At 42.7% G+C, this 16361-nt stretch overlaps 1 protein-coding gene across 10 annotated transcripts in view; it reads left to right on the plus strand.

Moving 5' to 3' along the window:
- Positions 1-10506, plus strand: part of CCNB3 (cyclin B3) — a 149202-nt gene extending 138696 nt beyond the window's left edge. For all 10 annotated transcript variants that reach the window (XM_017029915.1, XM_047442599.1, XM_047442600.1 and 7 more), the window contains 5 exons: positions 794-931; positions 5244-5399; positions 6218-6367; positions 9833-9963; positions 10199-10506. In XM_017029915.1, the coding sequence (XP_016885404.1) occupies positions 794-931; positions 5244-5399; positions 6218-6367; positions 9833-9963; positions 10199-10295 (672 nt within the window). In that variant the 3' untranslated portion in view covers positions 10296-10506. The remainder of the gene's footprint in view (positions 1-793; positions 932-5243; positions 5400-6217; positions 6368-9832; positions 9964-10198) is intronic.

Here is a 16361-nt window from a genome sequence, read left to right on the forward strand (position 1 = left end):
AGACAAATATCAAACAATCTAACAAAGCACCTTAAGGAACTGGAAAAGCAAGAACTGCTTTAACCCAAAATTAGTAGAAGGAAAGAAATAATAAAGACGATGGCAAGAATAAATGAAATAGAGACTAAAAAAAAAAAATACAAAAGATAAACAAAACGTTGATTTTTTTGAAAAGATAAATAAAATTGACAAGCCATAAGCTAGACTAAGAAAAAAATGAGAGAGAACCCAAATGAAATCAGAAAAGAAAAAGAAGGGAAGGAGGTTATATTATTAATACTTTAATCCCAGTCTGGCTTCTCCAGTCCCTTAGCTCACTTCCAAATTGTGCTATTGGTGTCTGCTCCCAATTGATATATTCTGATAGCATATCTAGTTGGGAAGAGAAAGTAGTACATGAATAAACTCCATATTTCAGAGCTAAATAAACATCTCCTTTGGGAGGTCACTGTACAAGTTGGCAGCAAATGGAGAAAGCAAGAACCTAAGTATTAGAGATCAAAGGGAGAGGATGTGTCCACTCAAGGCTCTCATAGAGAAGGCAGAGCATTTCTCTCTGATTTGTAAGGCTGGTCAACTACCCAAATGTGTAAGGATAGATAATGCCAGTGTCCTCAAAGGCACAGGAGATATACACAGGAACCTAGCTGAAGCAGTTTCTGTATTCGTAGCAGAGTCCCAGCTAGTCAGGACTGTTCTTGATGTTGCAGATACTCCAGGTAGCTAGATCTGTCTGGAGGCGACTTTGGAGCTGGACAATATGCAGATCTGTGTCGTGTGTGTGTTCCTCCAGGTGTCCTTTGAGATGACCCATGAGACCCTGTACTTGGCAGTGAAGCTGGTGGATCTCTACCTAATGAAGGCAGTATGCAAGAAGGATAAGTTACAACTCCTTGGTGCCACTGCCTTTATGATTGCAGCAAAATTTGAGGTGAGTCTGAGTCCCTATGGCCTGGAGAACTAATCAAGTTTCTGTCCAACCCAGTGAATGAATATATATTCATATATATTCATTGTTATGTGCTGCATAACAATGTTTTGGTCAATGATGGACTGCTTATACTATGGTGGTCCCATAAGAGTATAATGGAGCTGGAAAAGTCCTATCACCTAGTGACATCTTATCTTTTGTAACATTGTAATGTTACAAAAGATAACTCATATGGTGATGCTGGTGTAAACAAACCTATTGCACTGCAAGTCATAAAAGTATAGCACATACAATTACGTACAGTACATAATGCTTGATAATGATATAAACTGTTACTAGTTTATGTGTTCACTGTACTTTTAATTGTTTTATTATTATTTTATTAGAGACAAGGTCTCGCTCTGTTGCCCAGGCCGGAGTGCAATGATGTGATCATAGCTCACCATAACCTCAAACTCCTGGGCTCAAGCAATCTTCCCACTACAGCCTCTCAAGTAGCTAGGACTATAGGCATGCACCACAGTGCCTGGCTAATTTCCAGAAATTTTTTTGTAGGGGTGGGGTCTCATGTTGCCCAGGCTGGTCTTGAACTCCCGACCTCAAGCAATCCTCCTGCCTTGGCCTCCCAAAGCACTGGGATTACAAGTGTGAGCCACTGTGCCTGACCTGGTTTAGAGTATACTATTACTTATTTAAAAAAAATAAAGTTAACTGTAAAATAGCCTCAGGATGTCCTTCGGGAGGTTTTCCAGAAGAAGGCATTGTTGTAGGAGATGACAGCTCCATGCATATTATGACCCCTGAAGAACTTCCAATGGGACAAGATGTGGAGGTGGAAGACAGTGATATTAATGATCTTGACCCTTTCTAGGCCTAGGCTAATGTGTGTGTTTGTGTCTTCATTTTTTTTTATTTTATTATTATTATTATACTTTAAGTTTTAGGGTACATGTGCACAATGTGCAGGTTTGTTACATATGTATACATGTGCCATGTTGGTGTACTGCACCCATTAACTCGTCATTTAGCATTAGGTATGTGTCTTCATTTTTAATAAAAAAGTTTAAAAAGTAAAAAGTAAAGCCGGGCATGGTATTTCAATGCCTGTAATCCCAGCACTTGGGGAGGCTAAGGCAAGAGGATTGCTTGAGCCCAAGAATTTAAGACCAGCTTGGGGAACAAAGTGAGACCCCATCTCTACAAAAAAATAAAGCAGATTAGCTGGGTATTGTGGCACATACCTGTGGTCCCAGCTACATAGGATGCTGAGGCAGGAGGATCCCTTGAGCCCAGGAGGTTGAGGCTGTAGTGAGCTTTGTTCAAGCCACTGTATTCCAGTCTGGGTGAGAGAACAAGACCCTGTCTCAAAAGAAATTTTTTTTAAAGAAGAAAGCTTATTTAATAAGGATATAAAGAAAGCAAATATTTTTATACAGCTTTATACTGTGTTTGTGTTTTAAGCTGTTATTACAAAAGAGTCAAAGTTTTACAAAATAAAGTTACAGTAAGCTAAGGTTAATTTATTATCGAAGAAAAAATATTTTTTATGAATTTAGTGTCGCCTAATTGTACAGGTACAGTGTTTATAAAGTCTATGGTAGTGTACAGGAATGTCCCAGGCCTTCCATTCACTCACACACTGACTCACCCAGAGCAACTTCTACTCCCACAAGCTCCATTCATGTTAAGTGCCCAATACAAGTGTACTGGTTTTAAATCTTTTATGCTGTATTGTTACTGTACTTTTTCTGTTTAGATAGCCTAAACAAATACCATTGTTTTACAATTGCCTACAGAATTCAGTAGAGTCACATGTGCATAGGTGTGTAGCCTAGGAGCAATAGGCTATATACCATATAACCTGGGTGTGTAGGCTGTACCATCTAGGTTTTTGGAGGTACACTCTTATCTGTGATCTTCTCACAATGATGAAAATGATGCATTTCTCTTAACATATCCCTCTTGTTAAGTGACACATAACTGTGTATACATACATTTATTTGTACATATATACACATGTGCATACACATCAGTGTGTATATGTGTGTGCATACAGTTACATACATACAAATAATTTTTTTCTGCCGCATTTTTTGTCCCTCTTCCCAAAGCAGAGAAGCTGGTGTTGGTTGGCAATGGTGGTGTATTTGTTTCCTGGCATCAACAAGGTTCTTCCATTTTCTGTCTGAAGATGTATTATGTGGGCATCCAACTAATTAAATGGGCAGTTCTTTTTACAGCTTCCTTCTGCTCCATGATTCTCTGCCTCCACCATTTTCTTGTTCCACCAACTCCATCCCCATCTAGTGGAGTCTCAATCTGCTTATATAACAAAGCATTGCCTAACCAGGGTGCTGGAGACATTTAAGAGAAAATGGCGTGATGTTGATGGCAGTGAGTCTAAATGGTCCAGGTGAAATAGTAATTTGGGAAGTAGCAGTATAAAAGTGAGTAGCTGACCTTTTCTTCATGACCATAATCCATCTAACTAACCTCTCTGATTCCCCTTCCTTAGGTGCTAACTGATCTTGTTCAACTTTCATTTTTCCTTCAGCTAGGCTAGTTGTAGGAAGCCTTAGGGTTTGGGAGCAGAGAGTTGGCAACTTTTACCAAGGATTTCAAAGAACTTTAGAACTGTGGGTTTGTTTCTGTGTTGGCTCCCTCCCCAGCTCCTGCCTTCCTCTCCTCCCCAAACACATACTGGCTCTTACCCCCTCCCTCCCTCCCTGCCTCACTCTCTCCCTCCTTAACTTGCTCCCTTCCTCCCCTCCTTCTTTCCCTGTCACCTGCCCTTCAGTGATTGTTTTCCCTCACTCACCACCCCACTCTCCTTTGTTGCCCCTCACTCACCTGCTCACTTGAGCCCTCCCTCACTCTGTCCCTTCGTCCTGTGCCAGCTTGCTTGCTCCCTCCTCCCTTCCTCCTGCTTTTCCTCCCTTGCTCACTCCTTCCCTTGTTTCCTCTCTCCCTCCCTCACCTGCTGGCTCCCTCTTTCCTTCCCTCCTTGCTTCCTTCCCAGGCTCCCTCTCTCACTTGGTGGATAGATTCCTCTCTCCCTGGCTAGTCTACACCCTCCCTCCCTCGGTGGCTTGCTCTCTCCTTTCCTCTCTTTCCCTTGCTCCCTCACCTGCTCTCTCCCTCCCTCACCTGCTTTCTTCCCTCCCAGGCTCTGTCCTTCCCTCCCAGGCTCCCTCTTTTTCTTCCTTGCCCACTCTCTCCCTTCCTTTTTTACTCTGGGTACTTCTTAGCAAATCCTGGGAGTTGGAGCACCCTTCCTCTGTTGGCCAGGACAGAGGGCCCCTACCAAGTCCATGGAGGAGGGGTGTCTTCCTCTCACAGGATTAAGAAGTACAGAAAGCCTTTTGTTTAGGGGAGGTGTGGAGATGGCATGAGGAGAGAAAGGAGACAGTAGCCATTGCACAGAGCAGCGGAAGAGAGAGGTTCCTGCCCTGGTGTTGCCACTAGCTTGCCGTGTGAACCTGAGCACATCACTTTTCTCTGAGCCTAGGTTTCCTTGTCTGCCAAACCAAAGGGTTGGTCCTGTCTGTCATCCAAAAATAGGGGAAAGGTGGGGGAAGAAAGCTGTTGCGGGCAGTAAGCTGCAGGTAGGGAGAAGAATTAGGGGCCTTCCTGTGTCCTCATTGTTTCTCCAAACCAATGTTTGACCTCCAGAGGGCAGAGCCCTGGAAGGTGCTCCCTGGACAGAGGTTCTTCTCACCCTCAGCCTGGCCTGGCCCTTCCTTGTCTGACCTCTGGGTGCCTCCGCACACTCTGCCCACCACAGACTTTTGTCTCTGCTTAGGTTCCCTCTATGCCTGTCTGCCTCTCCACTTCTCTCACTGCCAGGTACCCTGTATTGCCCTCCTCAAACATCCTTACTCATTCCCTACACTAGGACACAAAATACAGGCTTATTTTCTATCTCTAGCTCCCATTTCTGTGGCTTCCTTCTGTCCCTCCCTCCAGAGAAGGCCTTAGATTTCAACATTCGTGGTTCTCAGAGGGCAGATGGCTGCTCCTAGGCCCTGTGCCCCCATTATGTTGCTTCTGGCACTGTAAGAATCCACCCCCAGGAGGTCCTATCCTCTATCTGGTGGTGGTGGTGGTACAGTTTTGGGGCAGGCCTCTCCTGTCCTTTCTTTGGTTTACTTTTTCTGATGAGCCACTCACATCAACCAGAAGCTGAGTCTCAGAGATACCCTGAAGATTTATGCCAGGAAATCCTTCACCCTTCTCCCTGCTGACTTTTACCTCTAAGCAGAAAGGTTGGGTTGTCTGTCTGGTTGTCACCTCCTCTCCTCTCCACCCATAGGAGCACAACTCACCTCGTGTGGATGACTTTGTGTACATCTGTGATGATAATTATCAGCGATCTGAGGTACTCAGCATGGAAATCAACATCCTGAACGTCCTCAAATGTGACATTAACATTCCCATCGCCTACCATTTTCTGCGCAGATATGCTAGGGTAAGAGAGAAGAGACACATCTTCATTCTCCCACTGCTGAGTTAGTCTCCTTTATACCCAGAGTAGCTGCCTTGAGTGGTAGGAAAGGGGAAAGGGACAACAGGCAGCAGGGAGCTTTCTCCTTCCATCCAATCTCCTAGGTTAAAGCTTGGCAATCTTTATGAAATAGTGGGAGGTGGGTGGGGGTGAGTTGCAGATTTCCACAGTGTGCCTATAAGGTTTTGAAGTGAGGCCAGAGTTGGGGAGGAGAAACGTTTCTTTTATCAGGGAGAGACACATGGAAAACTTTGTGGGGGGATGCTGGCAATATTCTCATTCTTTGCCTGAGTATTGGTTACAAGGGAGGTCACTTTATAATTCATTGTATTGTGCAAATGAGTGCGATGTACTTTTCTCTTTGTGTGTGTGATAGGTTGTAATTTTTAAAAAATAAGTTTAAATAAGAAAAGGGAAAAGGTTGTTTTGAGGTATGGAACACCTTCTAGGGAGGACCAGGAACAGAGTCACGGTGGGAGGACTTTGGCTCTTTAAAGAATGACCCATATAGCAAGGGGGGATGTGGGCCAGTACCATACACACAGTTGGTAATTTGATTAAAATCCTAAAGGTGGCAAATCCCACTGACTGTTTCAGAATCCCCCCTAAAGAGTCTGTTTTTGTGGGTAGGGAAGATGAAGTGAGTTACGGTTGCAGGAGAAAGGCACATTACTCAAACAGAGGGCCACTGAGGCTCGGGATGATGTAACTGGAGAGGGAGTCCTCTGCTTGGTGCCAGTTTTCTAAATTGATTTCTGAGCCAGTCTTCTCATTGCCTTTAGTGTATCCACACCAACATGAAGACACTGACCTTGTCCCGCTACATCTGCGAGATGACCCTGCAGGAATACCACTATGTCCAGGAGAAGGCTTCCAAGCTAGCTGCTGCCTCCTTACTCCTGGCCCTCTACATGAAGAAGCTCGGATACTGGGTAAACACTTGCGAGATAGGGGTATAGGGGTAGAGATTTAAAAAGCAGAAGGTCAGCTCATGGGGAAGGTGTAAATTAAGGCCACGGGAAACTCTTGGGGACAAAACTGACACATATTCACCACTGTGAACTCTAACACCTGGACAACTTGGGGCAAGGGCTTCTACAGCAATGGTTTTGAATTATGCCATTTTTCATAATCAAAGTACCCTTTGTTCCAAAGAAAGCTCACCTGAAAGCCCAATATTACATACCAGACTACTGTGAAGGTATTCTGGTTGTCATATGGGGTAGTGTGACCCTACTTCTTATCCCCAGCCCTGTTCCCCTCTTGCCTCTTGCAATCCCCTCAGCAAGACTGGCCCCTGAGGCAGCTTGTTGGAACAGGGTTTGAAAAGCACTGAGCCAGAGAAGAGTAGTGAAAGCAACTGTCTGTGTCTACAAAAGTGGCACTCAGGGGCATGACTATAGTGTTCTTCTCTGAAGAAGGCTCTCAAAGCCTCCTGCTCCAATACAAATAAAACTCATATTTGATGCTTTCTCAATTTTATGAAAAGTTGGGGGTAAAATCAACTTTAGATAATTTCGCATTCTTACTAATGATATGTATAATATATAATCCAAGTAGCAGGAGTATGCTTGCAAATGCAGCCCCTCTGCTCAACCACTTCTGAGCTCCTCCTACCTAAAAATCCTGGAGCCACTGAGGGAAGAACCTCTGTGGGCTGAGAAAGAACCACATAAAGTAGTTATGTGAACTTGGAGAAGCCATACTGAAATTTCTTGAAACAGAGAAAGCATTCAATAAATGATAGTGATGATGAAAAAGAATAAATAATAATCATGACTGGCATTTATTGAGTGTTTAGACAGTGATCTAAGCACTTTGTGTATTAACTCATTTAATCTCCACAACAACCCCACATGATAGTACCGTTATCCCTGTTTTGCAGATAAGAAATAACTCCCATGTTTACACAGCTGATGAGAGGTGGAGCTAGGCTTTGGAAACTAGGAGTGGTGTTCACAATCCAAACCAACTGTGTAATCAGAATGGGCGTGGCCACAGCTCTGGAGCTGAGGGTCTGGAGGCCCCATGCTGAACCAGGCTTTGACCCTTGGATCCCATGGAAATCCAGTGGGCCGTGAGGGGGACAGCTGATGGGTTCAGGCAAGCAAACTGTGTGCCAACTAAGATAGAAATATTTCAGTGTTTTCACACTTGGTGACTAAACCAGGGCATATCAGCTAAATGTCAGCCCGAATCTGAACTCAGGTAGTCTGACTCCACAATCCTCTATGTTAGTATACTGCCTCTCCTATAGATAAGGAAGGCTTCACAGAAGAGGTGACTTTTGAGCTGGGTCTTGAAACGTATGCAGGAACTTGTGAGAGGAGACATTCTAGGTAGAGGGAGCAGTAATTAAAAAGACGTGAAGGCATTAAGGAGGGAGTGTGTTGTGTTTAGGGCAGAATAAGACATCCCCTATGGATAGAACAGAGAATATGGTAAAAGGAGAGGTGCTAATGATGTTAATAGTGACAGATGAGACCAGAATGGTAGATCATGGTCAGATTGTGAAAGAAAGGCTTTGTATACCACGCTGAGAGACCCACTTTACACTAAGGCATTGAAGGGTTTTTAGGCAGGGAGGTGACATGCTCCTGTTTGTGTATTTTAGAAACAGTACTGGTATAGCAAAAGAGAAGGTAGAGTAAATGAGAGAGAATATAAAGGTGGGAACACCAGTGAGCAGGCTATTGTAACATAGTCAAGGTGAAGCATTTGAGGGTCTGAACTGACACAGTGGCACTGGGGCCTTTTAGTCTTATTTAACACATCCAGTCTACTCCATTACCCCCTTGTGTTACTCCCCTACTCAGCACGCCAATGACGGCCCTTTGCCGGTGGTGGTGGTGGTTTCCAAACAGTATTTGGGGGAGCCCTGGGTTTCCTGCAGAATTCTCTCAGGGACCATGTAAAAGATAAAGGGATCCAAATTTGTGGGCTTCTTAGCTCACACCCCCACTTCCAGGTAAGCTATTTGGGCTTCCAGGTAAGACACTTGAAAAAGAGGAGTTCAAGGAAAATAAGACATTTTGAGGAAACCACTGACTTATAAATCCTCTTCCTTTCTCTGTCTGTTGAGCTCCCCACTTAACCAACCATTGTGGACATGCTGTCCTCTGTGAAGCTTTCTGTGACTCTCCTGACAGAGTTCGTGGGTCCTGCTGCTGTGTTCCTCCAGTGTCCTATGCTCACTTCCATTATAGCACTTATCACACATTTTTTAACTCGCTGTTTGCACATCTGTCTCCTCTACTAGACTACAGACTCCTCAAGGGCAGGTCCCTCATTCATTTTTGTGTTCCCAGGATCCTACATATAGGGCTTGGTAATCCTAGTTAGCATTGTTTGGATACTTACTATGTTCCAGACTCTGTTCTATGTATGATACACACATACACAAATACACACACACACACACACACACACACACACACACATTTAACCCTATGATGGAATTACCGTAATAATCCCCATTTGGCAGATTGGGAAACTGAGGTCCCAAGAGGTTAATTAACTGGCTCAAGGCCAAGCTGTTAGGGGAACTGAAATTTGACCTGAAGCATTTTGCCTCCAGGACCTCTGCTCTTAAACACTGCTATACCGCTTCTGCCACATAATAGGCATTCTTAGCTGAGTGAGAAAATGAACCTGTGGAATGATAGCTGTTAGAGCCAGAGAGGAGGATCAGCCTTAAGTTCATGTTGGCTGTGGAGTTGGCACCTAAACTTTGTTCTGGGGTTTACCTGGCCATTAGCTCTGGACCTGAGAGTGAGCAAATTACAAAATCAGTCCCGTTCCTTAGGACTGGTGAATTTCTGCTTACATGAACATCTGTGACCAGGGCTAATATCTTTTTTTTTTTTTTAAGAGATAGGGTCTTGCTCTGTTACCCAGGCTGGAGTGCAGTGGTGCGATCATAGTTCACTGCAGCCTCGAACTCCTGGGCTCAAGCAATCCTCCTGCCTCAGCCTCCCGAGTAGCTGGGACTACAGGTCTACACCACCATGCCCAGATAATTTAAAATTTTTTTAAAAGAGATAGGGTCTTGCTGTGTTGCCCAGACTGGTCTTGAATTCCTGGGCTCAAGCAGTCCTCCTGCCTCGGGCTCCTAATATGCTGAGATTACAGGCATGATCCCTACCACGCCTGGCCAAGAGCTAATATCTAACTGGTACGTATGGATATAGCCATCCCAGTAGTTTGTGGCTGGAATCTATTCTTCTATATAGCATAGTATAATTATTGATCAGCGTCCAGATGGTGTGAGTCTTTGAAATGTTTTGAATGTCATCTCTGTTTAAACCATGTGTGGGAAGCTTAGACTTGGGATAGCAGAGATGGAGGAACGGTGTGCTTCCTATAGTAGAAATCACTATTCATGCTGCTTCTTCCAGGTTCCCTTCCTGGAGCATTACAGTGGCTACAGTATCTCTGAGCTTCACCCCTTGGTCAGACAGCTGAACAAACTGCTGACTTTCAGTTCTTACGATAGTCTCAAGGCTGTGTATTACAAGTATTCTCACCCGTAAGTACTAAGCCCCGGATGAGGTTGGGTTTGTGTTCATTTATTGGGAGGCTTTAAAATACTAGACCGAGACTAGCCTCACTTAAGAGAAAAAGATTCAGGCACTTTTCACCTTCCTTTCTACTCTAGGGTTAAAGCAAGATAGGAAACTAAGGGCTGTATGTCCCACTTGTTCCATAGAGCATGATTGTATTTGCCCTATTCTATGCTGAGGAGACCCCTCTTCCTTTTGCAGGGTCTTCTTTGAAGTCGCCAAAATCCCTGCCTTGGATATGTTGAAGCTGGAGGAGATTTTGAACTGTGATTGTGAGGCTCAGGGCCTGGTACTCTAGCAGCAGCCACAGGGCTAAGCATGCATGTTAACAGGGTATATTTATTCTATGTTCGAATTTGTCTTTTGATCGCTTTTATTCATTTTTCCTTTCTTTGTCTTTTCCCAAACTGATAATGTTATAAATATTTATGTTGCTTGTTTTTATGAAAGAAAAAATATTGTCATATTTGACTACAAATTTAATAAAAAATTAATGGTTATTGTTAAAATGGCTCATTTCCCCTCTTATTGTTCAGGAGCCCCATGCACAGCTCAATAATTTTTTTTTTCTTCCTAGTCAAGGCTGGGCCCCAGAGCCTAGATTACCCAATTCCCTCCTCTGTTTAGAAGTCTTCTCCTCATGGGAAGAGGAATTGAGCTAACCATGAACTGATAGATGGGTCTACAGAAGGAGGATTATGGTGCCCAGTCCAAGGAGAAAGCTCCTTACCTGACAGGTAGACCTCACTTTTCAGAGCTGGGCAGCTGGCAGTGTAGGCTAATACCTTTTGGTCTCAATCTCAGGTATTATGCTTTCTTTGCTTCTTCCTAGATGGTGAAAAGTTGGGGATCAGGATTTTAATCCAAATGTAGCCTTGCTTTCAGTTAGGCAGCTTTTTAGAGTACAAATTTGAAAATACTCTTGGAGTGGTATGTGCTGAAATCATTTTTGGCCCTTGTCTTCTGCCAGGAGAAGAAATTCCTACCTTTGAAATTGGCAAGGTGTCCCATGAATGCAAGCATCAACCACTTGCCCAGTCTTTAATTCATATAGCATTAAGAGATTCTCCTTTCTTTTTCACTCTGCCCTACCTTTGGGGTGATGTGTACTGGGACAGTTACTTAAGTTGTTAATGGAGGAGTGGAACATCCAGTATGCCAGTTGTTCAAGAGCTACTGCCTCAGTCTCACCCCAGGACCTCCCCACAATCCAGCAAGTAATGTCTACCACAGCAGGAGACCTCTAGGACTCTATTCTAGTATTGTAGCTGGCAATTATCCTGATTGGTCTGTGACCATTTGTTACCACTTGTCAAATATTTTGAATATCAGTCCTGGAGGGTGGACATTTGGTGGAGAGGACAATCAAGGAAGCAGTTATGGGGAAAATGCCTCTTCAATTCTGTCCCAAGACTCTCCATGCTATTGTAATTACATCACCTTTTCTGATGGGTTAGAGACAGATGGATGAGCATGCCAAGCCCTTAGGTGTCTCAGTGCTTTCCTTCCCTTCCAATCAGTTTCCCATTCTTCCTCCTGACTTGCTTTGCCTTGGAGACCAGACATCACTAGGTTTCCTCCTGCCCCATTCCACTGTATTGCAAGATGACTAAGGGGTACAGCCAGAGAGGTCCAAGCTACTCAGCAGTGGTTCTGCTGGCACAGCCAACTTTGCATGAACATGCTAAAAGCATTAGGCTGGAAGCCATCTTGCAAATCTCCAGCCTTACTAAAAGGATGTGTCTTGTACCTGCTTTTGAATTCTGGAGCTTTACATCAAGGGGAAAAAATTAACCAATTGAATTGTTTCCCCCTTTTTACCAACCCTGTTCTTTAAAGGTGCTAATGAAACCATCAGTCATTTTTGTTGTTGATTTTGCAATGCCTCAACATTTATTTTGCACACACTCATCACTACTTCAAAATTAAGATAGCTGTTAGAACTGGAGCTTGTTAGAAGTGGGTGCAAAAGTTATCGTGGTTTTTGCCTTTCCTTTTAATGGCAAAAACCACGATAACTTTTGCACCAACCTAATATTTAGTGCCTTATTAAAGAAGCACATCTATTCTTTATCAGGAATTTGCTGGCCCAGTGAGGTGGCTCACGCCTGTTGTCCCAAAACTTAGGGAGGCCAAGGCAGGAAGATCACTTCAGCCCAGGAATTTGAGACCCACCTGGGCAATACAGTGAGACCCTGTGTCTACAAAAAGTTAAAAAGTTAGCCAGGCATAGTGGCTTATGCCTGTGGTCCCAGCTACTCAGGAGGCTGAGGCAGGAGGATCACTTGAGCCCAGAAGGCAGATGTTGCAGTAAGCCATGATCGTGCCACTGTACTCCAGCCTGGGCAATAGAGCAAGACCCTGCTTAAAAAAAAAAAGAATTTGCTTTTATATTTTGATGACTGTCTCTCTATATATGAATAAAACTAGCTTTCTTTGTAACCTTATGTATTTTTAACAGTTTTATTTTCTTAACTGAATGCAAATTACTTTATATATGTATATATAACTTTATGTCTCCCTATATCTTTAAGATCATAACAGTTTAAAAAACAAAACTAAAAAATTCTAAAAGTTTAAACTACAAAATCATCTATATAGGTCATAAAAACACTCTGGTAGAGAAATGTGCCTGGTAATTCATAAGTAAAACAAACATAGCCTGTGAAATAATGTGACATGCTTAGAAAAATGCCTGACACATAGCATGAATATCTAATAAATGGTGGTGGTACTCTCTGGTAGAGGAAGGGGCACAGAGTGGCTACAGAGGTAAGTAGGGGTGAGACTGTTTGTTTGTTTGTTTGTTTTAAAGAAAAAGGCCTGGCTGGGCACCGTGGCTCACTCCTGTAATCCCAGCACTTTGGGAGGCTGAGACGGGCAGATCACAAGGTCAGGAGTTTAAGACCAGCCTGGCCAATATGGTGAAACCCCATCTCTACTAAAAATACAAAAAGTTAGCTGGGTGTGGTGGCAGGCACCTGTAGTCCCAGCAACTTGGGAGGCTGAGGCAGGAGAATCACTTGAACCCGGGAGGCAGAGGTTGCAGTGAGCTGAGATCATGCCACTCACTCCAGCCTGGGTGACAGCGCGAAACTCCGTCTCAAAAATAATAATAATAATAATAAGGCTTATATGGTATGTTGAAGGTTTTTATACTAAGAGTTTTGATTTTGGAGATGTATCCATCAAGGTTCAGTCAGAAAACAGAAACCACTCTAGTTATTTCGAACAGAGGAAATTTAATGCTGGGAATTGGTTACTTAAGGACAGAAGAGCTAAGAAGTCACACACACAGTGTGAAGCTTCTGTTATACTTAGGGCTGGAGGAACAGTAGCCAAGAGGTGGTGTCACCAGACCCCCAGATGCCAGGGATATCAAGCTGGATTTGGAACCAGTGATCAGTTGGGACCAATGAGGGTAGGGCTGATGAAAGGAGGCTGGAGCTGGGAAGGAGACAAAGTTACTGCCAGACCTATTGCTGGAGGCAGAGTGAGAAAGGAAATAGCCTGGCTTCTTCATATTTTAATAGTTTTTGGGGAACAGGTGGTTTTTTGTTACATGGACAAGTTATTTAGTGGTGATTTCTGAGATTTTGGTGCACCTATTACCTAAGCAGTATACACTGTACCCTATATGGGTAGTCTTTTATCCCTCACCCAGTCCCATCCTTCCCCCCAAGTCCCCAAAGTCCATTATATAATTCTTATGCCTTTGCATTCTAATAGTTTAGCTCCCACTTATAAGTGAGAACATATGATATTTGGTTTTCCATTCCTGAGTTACTTCACTTAGAAAAATGGTCTCCATTTTTCTCCAGCTCCATCCAAGTTGCTGTAAATGCCATTATTTTTTTCCCTTTTATGGCTGAGTAGTAGTCCATGGTGTATATATACCACATTTTCCTTGTCTACTCATTGGTTGATGGGCATTTAGGTTGGTTCCATATTTTTGCAATTGTGAATTATGCTGCTATAAACATGCGTGTGCAAGTGTGTTTTTCATATAATGACTTCTTTTCCTTTGCGTGCATACCCAGTAGTGGGATCACTGAATTAAATGTTAGTTCTACTTTTAGTTCTTTAAGGAATCTCCACGCTGTTTTCCATAATGGTTGTACTAGTTTACATTCCCACCAGCAGTGTAAAGGTGTTCCTTTTTCACCACATCCACACCCGCATCTATTATTTTTTGACTTTTTTGGATTAAGGTGGTATCTCATTGTGATTTTATGTGTATTTCCCTGATAATTAGCAATGTTGAACATTTTTCCATATGTTTGTTAGCCATTTGTATATCTTCTTTTGAGAATTGTCTATTCATGTCCTTTGCCTACTTTTTGATGGGATTGTTTTTTTCTTGCTGATTTGAGTTCCTTGTAGATTCTGGATATTAGTCCTTTTGTCAGATGTGTAGTTTGTGAATATTTTTTCCCACTCTATGGGTTGTCTGTTTACTCTGCTGATTATTTCTTTTGCTGTGCAGTAGCTTTTTAGTTTAATTAGGTCCCATTTATTTATTTTTGTTTTTGTTGCATTTGCTTTTTGGTTCTTGGTCATGAATTATTTGCCTAAGCAATGTCTAGAAGAGTTTTTCTGATGTTAACTTCTAGAATTTTTATGGTTTCAGGTCTTAGATGTAAGTCTCTGATCCATCGTGAGTTGATTTTTGTTTAAGGTGAGATATGTTTTATTCTTCTACATGTGGCTTGCCAATTATCCCAACACCATTTGTTGAATAGGGTTTTCTTTTTCCACTTTGTTTTTGTTTGCTTTGTTGAAGATCAGTTGGCTGTACATATTTGGCTTTATTTCTGGGTTCTCTATTCTGTTCCATTGGTCTATGTGCCTATTTTTATACCAGTACCATCCTGTTTTGGTAACTATACCCTTATAGTATGGTTTGAAGTCAAGTAATGTGATGCCTCCAGATTTGTTCTTTTTGCTTAGTCTTGCTTTGGCTATGCGGGCTCTTTTTTGGTTCCATATGAATTTTAGGATTGTGTTTTCTAGTCCTGTGAAGAATGATGGTGGTATTTTGATGGGAATTGCATTGAATCTGTAGGTTGCTTTTGGCAGTATGGTTATTTTTACAGTATTGATTTTACCCATCTGTGAGCATGGGATGTGTTTCCATTTGTTTGAGTCATCTATGATTTCTTTCAGCAGTGTTTTGTAGTTTTCCTTGTAGAGGTCTTTCACCTCCCTGGTTAAGTGTATTCCTAAGTGTTTTATTTTTATTTTTTACAGCTGTTGTATAAGGGATTGAGTTCTTGATTTGATTCTCAGCATGGTCGTTGTTGGTGTATAGCAGTGCTGTTGATTTGTGTACACTGATTTTGTATCCTGAAACTTTACTGAATTCATTTATCAGATCTAGGAGTTTTTTGGACGAGTCTTCAGGGTTTACACATACCATACAATTCACCCACTTAAAGTGTATAATTCAGGCCGGGCATGGTGGCTCATGCCTGTAATCCCAACACTTTGGGAGACTGAGGTAGGAGGATTGCTTGGACCCAGGAGTTCAAGATCAGCCTGGGCAGCATAGTAAGACCCTGTTTCTACAAAAAATTTAAAAATATTAAAAAAATTAAAAAGTGTGTAATTCAAGTTTTCAGTATATTCAGTTTTGTGGTTGGGCATGGTGGCTGATGCCTGTAATCCCAGCACGTTGGGAGGCCGAGGCGGGCAGATCACTTGAGGTCACAAGTTTGAGACCAGCCTGGCCAACATGGTGAAACCTCATCTTTACTAAAAATACAAAACTTAGCCGGGCATGGTGGTGCATGCCTGTAATCCCAGCTACTCAGGAGGCTGAGGCAGGAGAATCGCTTGAACCCAGGAGGTGGAGGCTGCTTGAACCCAGGAGGCAGAGGCTGCAGTGAGCCGAGATTGTGCCACTGTACTCCAGCCTGGGTGACAGAGCCAGATTCTGTCTCTAAGAAAAAAAAAAAAGTTTTGTAATCATCACCACAATCTAATTTTGGAACATTTTCATCACCCCTCAAATTAAACTTCCAGCCTGTTAGCAATCAATCTCCTTTCCCCACACCCCATGAGCCCTAGGTAACCACCAATTTACTTTCTCTCTCTATCAGTTTGCCTATTCTGGACATTTCATATAAATTGTACCATACAATAGGTGGCCTTTGTGTCTGGCTTCTTTCACATAGCATAATGTTTTCAAGGTTCATCCATGTTGTAGCATGTATCAGTACTTCCTTTTATTGCTGAGTAATATACCATTGTATGGACATATATACATTGTGTTTATCCAGTCATTGGTTGGTAGAAATTTGGGTTTTTCCACTTTTTGGCTGTTGGGAATAATTCTGCTATGAACATTCATGTATAAGTGTGT

Source organism: Homo sapiens, chromosome X, assembly GCF_000001405.40.
Source record: "Homo sapiens chromosome X, GRCh38.p14 Primary Assembly".
NCBI classification, from domain to species: Eukaryota; Metazoa; Chordata; class Mammalia; order Primates; family Hominidae; genus Homo; species Homo sapiens.